The following is a 6,000-nucleotide window of genomic DNA, read 5'->3' as shown; positions in this document are numbered from 1 at the left end:
GTCCCTACTGAACAATGTTCCCAGATGTTAAAATTGTCATGAAAATGTGAAACTCTTTGCTACAAATTTTGGCAACAACAACAACAATAAAACATCTATTCAATGTAACACAATTTTTAAGAGTGTGTATACAGAATGCTAAAAAATAAATTGGCTGATTGTAGTCAAATTAATTGTTTACCCAGTTAAATAAAGAAAAAATAATAATAAAATCAATCACTCCTGATAAGTGTTTAAAAAAAAAAAAACTGTTTCCAATTTAGAGTTCTTAGTAATGTCGCATTGGTGCCTCTTCCCTATAGAAAAAGGTGTAGTGTTTTTATTCTTCTTCCATTCCTGGGCACTGTCAAGTCCCTGCCCAACTTTTGGCCTCAGACGAAAAGCATTCTTTGGTCTGGTCTTTCCTAGCCATGGGCATGGACTGAACAGCATCTCTCCGGAAGCACAGTTGATCTTCAGATGACAATAGTAAAAGAAAGAGGAGGTATTGTGAAGAAAACTGGTTTGGTGTTATCTGTCAACATTTCTTTTAGTTCCTACTGTATACTCGTGTACAGAGGTGCATAAAAAAGGGATTCGTGGCCCGGCGCGGTGGCTCACGCCTGTAATGTCAGCATTCTGGGACTTTGGGAGGCTGAGGCGGGCGGATCACGAGGTCAGGAGATCGAGACAATCCTGGCTAACACGGTGAAACCCCGTCTCTACTAAAAATACAAAAAATTAGCCAGGCGTGGCGGCGGGCGCCTGTAGTCCCAGCTACTCGGGAGGCTGAGGCAGGAGAATCGCTTGAACCTGGGAGACTGGAGGTTGCAGTGAGCGGAGATTGCGCCACTGCACTCCAGCCTGGGTGACAGAGCGAGACTCCATCTAAAAAAAAAGGGGGTAACTCGCTGCCCAGAATTATTTAGGCTACGATTAGTTGCTTATAGTCAAGAGTCAGGAAACTTGTTAGTTCCACACATTCAGCTATGAAGTAAATAAATTAGGAAGTTAAAATTTTGACTAGAAGAAACACCCTCTATTCACTCCTTCCATAGTTGTGGTTTCCAGGAGCATTCAGACAATGGCATATCAATGCCAATAAGTGTAGCATAAACTTAAAGAAGCAGTGTGGACACCTACATTTTGGAAACCCTTTGGTTACTGTGAGGAATTAGTCAATTAAACTTAAACATTTTCTTTCCTCAAAATTGGATGAGTTTACTGTAGGTACTTTGTTATCTATCACCCCAATAAATATACCCAGGTGAATAATGGAGATATATCTTGGTGAGGCAAACTTGTGTAGGAATTAGCAGACCTAGATTCCACTTGAGCAGAATAGATAAATCAATTTTAGTCAATCTGTTAACTGCTATGTAGCCTTCTCTTTCTGTGAATTAAGACACACATGCTCTTACATCCACAGGAACTGCGCTAGCCAGAAGGTAATGGAATGGCCCCCACAAAGTGTGAAAAAGGGGGAAAAACAACTGTTAGTTTACAGTTCTATATACACTGAAGATATCATTTTTAAATGAGGGGGAAATTAAGGCTTTTTAAGATGCACAAAAGCTGAGGGCATTTTTCTCCATCAGACCTGCACTTCAAGAAATGCTAAAGAAAGCTCTTCAGGTAGGATGGGAGTGGTACCAGATGGAACACTGAATCCATCCAAACCGTGACAGACACAGTGTGAAATATGTGAGAGGGTATAAAAGACTTATTTGCTCACTTTAAAGTTTCTTGAAAAGATAATTAACAATTTAAAGCAAAGTTTAATAATTACGAGTTTACCACACACATCAAAGTGAAAAATGTGTTTTAAAAATAGCACAATGGTCAGGGAGGGTAGGGATATGGCTGTGAGTGTCTTACATCACACATGACATGGTATATTATTATTTGAAGATGTTAAAGATTTATTATAAACACTGTAATTTTTTTTTTGAGACGGAGTTTCGCTCCTGTTGCCCAGGCTGGAGTGCAGTGGCACAATCTCAGCTCACCGCAACCTCTGCCTCCCAGGTTCAAGCAATTCTCCTGCCTCAGCCTCCTGAGTAGCTGGGATTACAGGCATGTGCCACCACGCCCAGCTAATTTTGTATTTTTGGTAGAGACGGGGTTTCTCCACGTTGGTCAGGATGGTCTCAAACTCCTGATTTCAGGTGATCTGCCCGCCTTGGCCTCCCAAAGTGCTGGGATTACAGGCGTGAGCCACTGCACCTGGCCATAAACACTATATTTTTTTTAATTAAAAGAAGGTATATCAAATAATTCTATGGTGGAGATAAATGGGATTCCACAAAATTAATTTTTATTTTGTATATATACACACAAACTTTTACCTTTATTTCTCTGAAATTACTATTTTAGTTCTAATATTAGGTTGGTGCAAAAGTCATTGCGGTTTTGGCCATCATTTTCAATGGCAAAGACCGCAATTACTTTTGCTCCACTCTAATACAAAATATGATGATGAATTTAATAAGTGACTTTGACCGGGCTAAGGGATGCCCAGATAGTTGGAAAAACATTTATTTCTGGCTGTCTCTGTAATGGTATTTCCAGAGGGATTAGCATTTGGATCAGAGGGGTTTTTTTGGGAGTGGGGGTGAGGGGTCCTGATTTGCATAAGTCCACAGCAACCACCAAAAATGTGAATGCTGCTTCCTTTCCATAGTGACTGCTTGAGTTACCTCTCACATAGAAAACCAAGGGTGTCCTGCTTCCAGGCGGTGGGATGGATTCAGAGATAATACCATTAACACCAATGCCTCTACACAATGCGTGAACATTCCTAGACAGAGATTTAAGTGGTGTGGTAGACAAGGGATCAAGAAGGATGCCAGAATGAAGGGAAGAAATTTGGAAAAACCAAGAGAATTGCAGAAAACCAGATCCAGGGCTCTAATAATCTATGAGAGCCTATGTAGACTTTTCTCTAGGATGAGTCAATGACTTACCATTTAAGAGCACAGAGATGGCAGGGCGCGGTGGCTCACGCCTGTAATCCCAGCACTTTGGGAGGCTGAGGCGGGTAGATCACGAGGTCAGGAGTTTGAGACCAGCCTTACCAACATGGTGAAACTTTTAGCTGGGCATGGTGGTGCACGCCTGTAATCCCAGCTACTAAGGAGGCTGAGGCAGGAGAATTGCTTGAACCCGGGAGGCCGAGGTTGCAGTGAGCTGAGGTTGTGCCACAGCACTCCAGCCTGGGCAACAGAGCGAGACTCTGTCTCAAAAAAAAAAAAAGGAAAAAAAAAGCACAGAGAGTGGGCCCTCTGTTACTTTTGATGTCCAGCCTGCAATATTAATGCTCCAGAATAATACAAGTTTTGAAAGGGATATCCTGATAAAAACCAGGAACCAAGTTATTTCAAAAGTAAGTAAATGAATCAAAAATCAACAATGAAACATTGATCCTGAAAATGTGACCAAATTTTGGTGCTTGGTGAAATGGAAATTCCGAGGGAAGAAAAAAGTGTAGTCTTTGCTCTTAACTTATTTAAAAAACAAACTAGTAGAAGATATACAAATTATTATTATATATGAGGAGCACAGTAGTGACATATATAAGCTTCATTTGTTATTGTCCATTCCAATTTTTTTTTTTTTTCTGTTGCCCAGGCTGCAGTGAAGTGGTGCAATCTCGGCTCATGGCAAGCTCCGCCTCCCAGGTTCAAGCGATTCTCCCGCTACAGGCACGAGCCACCACACCCAGCTAATTTTTGTATTTCTAGTGGAGACAGGGTTTCACCGTGTTGGCCAGGCTGGTCTCGAACTCCTGACCTCAAGTGATCCACCCGCATCGGCCTCCCAAAGTGCTGGGATTACAGGCGTGAGCCACCGTGCCTGGCCTATCCATTCCAATTTAAATGATAAAAAATGAGATCTCTACTGTAGGGAGTGTGAGTCCAGAAATTTTCTTGGAGAAAGTGGGTCTTCAGTTGGACTTAAGATGATGGAGTTTAGCAGAAAATGAGGAGAGGGAAGAACATCATGCTGGCAATTATGTGGAAAGCATATAGAGCTAGGTATGCACAGGACATATTTCTAAGAGAGAGAGAAGCCTGGCATTTTGGGGCAGAGAAACCTATTTGAATCATTTTACTACTTTAACCACATATTTTAAAAAATGGATCTCTTCCCCTCATGCCTTCATTTGTTTTTACGTTTGCATTGAAATATCATGCACCTCACCTCATTTTCACCTTGTATTTCAAATGAACATAGTCATAAATGAAATATTTTAGTAGGTGAGGAAATCTTCACACAAAAAATACAATTCACTGCTAATTGTAAATTTCAGCAATAAAAATTAGTTTATACGCACCTACCCTAAATAAGCCATAGATACTGAGACATAAGGTACGGTCCTCACCCTTGAATAGGCTACTATCCCCCTAAGAAGTGTAAAAATCCACATGTATGTGTGATTATATCAGGAGCCACTGTCTGGTAATAGTGGTAAGATAGCTTAAAGAAGGAGAGACCACTTCATGCTGTGGGGATTATCACAGAGTAGCAATGGGATAGATAAATTTTGGAAGCTGGGTAGAGTTGCTGCAGATGGCTGTGGTGGGGTGGGGGATATCAGTGAAAAGAGTCAGAAAGAAATAAAAATAAGAAGGTGAAAACACACACTTATCTTTCTCTTCATAACCTGTTTGTTATTAAGCCTTTTTCAGAGTGTTGGTAAGGCCAATAGTTACAAAGATCATGACACAAACTAGTGAAGGTGACTCAAGGTGAAAGGCTTTACTTTCCTGATATGTATTAGGGAGCACCTGAAGATAGGGTAGCCTCTAAACCAAAGCAAGATTGGAGTTAAACGGGGCCAGGAGAAGAGAAAACTCCACGAACCTGTGTCCTGGCCCAGGTAGCAGTGCGGTAAAACTTGTCATTGGAATGATTGGTGATTGTTACTGTTTTTCATGCCCTTTAATTGGAATCGCTGAGGGGATCTTGTTCTGAAAACTGTCGGAAGCATTCTTCTGAGAATAGTTTTTGTGAACCTTGCAAGTTCAGAAGAGGGCAAGATAGTAGAAACAAAGAAAAAGGTAAAAAGAGAACGGAAAAAAAGGGAAAATATTCAAGGGTTAAAACGAAAGAAACTGGATTCACTTTTAATCCATTTACATGATCTTGTGATGTCTCCACGGACTTGCTTCATGCTTTTAGCTATTTTCTACCAATTACATTGGGAGACATGACTGTGTGCAAGTACAGGGAAGACTATTTTCTGATCATTTCTCATTAAAGTAGAAAAGTGCTTTTATTTTGCAAAGAAACTTAAGGTTTGTCAGGTTTTTCTGATCTTGTGATTGAAGCTGACCCTTCTTTTTAAAAAACGTCTTTTGGTCTCATCTGCAATTACTCTAAAGGTCTTTAGAGACACATAGAAGTGCAGGTTACAGATTTTATTCCCACATCTTTGCTCTTTGATGTGGCTCTAAATGGATAATTGGGATGAGAGAGAACTCCTCTAAGAAGAAAAAGAAAATAGAGGTCTTGGTAGACACAGAGATTCTTTTTGTTCCATTTACCAAATTGGAAGAGGGGGTGTTGCTGCTAGAGGTCTTGCTCTGGCTCAGATGCAAACATTCTTCTCCTACTAATAAGCACTGCTTGATATCAACTTCACTGCATCCTATTACTCACTGTAGCCATGTAGCATGATAATTACGCCCGACACCCCTCTCTCTGCTTCTGGCCCCAAACGTCATGACTTACATGGGATACAAGACATAAATTAATCCTTATTCTTAATACAGTCTCCTGCACTTCATTCACATAGCCAGAGTATTGTCTCAATCCTGCCCCGTGTCATACTATAGGACTTGATGTAAATCATAGCATTAGATTTGGAAAAAAAACATTTCCCCTGAAGCGTTTAAGGTCTTAAGCTGAGCCCTTGAGTCAGCAAATAAGTAGTGCTACAAAAATGCCTACAAACAGAGGGGAAAAAACACCACAAACACAGCTGTGTCAAGGACAATGCTAGTTTAGGGAAAGCAG

The sequence above is a fragment of the Homo sapiens genome, chromosome X (genome assembly GCF_000001405.40).
Source record: "Homo sapiens chromosome X, GRCh38.p14 Primary Assembly".
Classification (NCBI taxonomy): domain Eukaryota; kingdom Metazoa; phylum Chordata; class Mammalia; order Primates; family Hominidae; genus Homo; species Homo sapiens.
The sequence above is the reverse complement of the archived record's forward strand: the minus strand, read 5'-3'. Positions refer to the sequence as shown.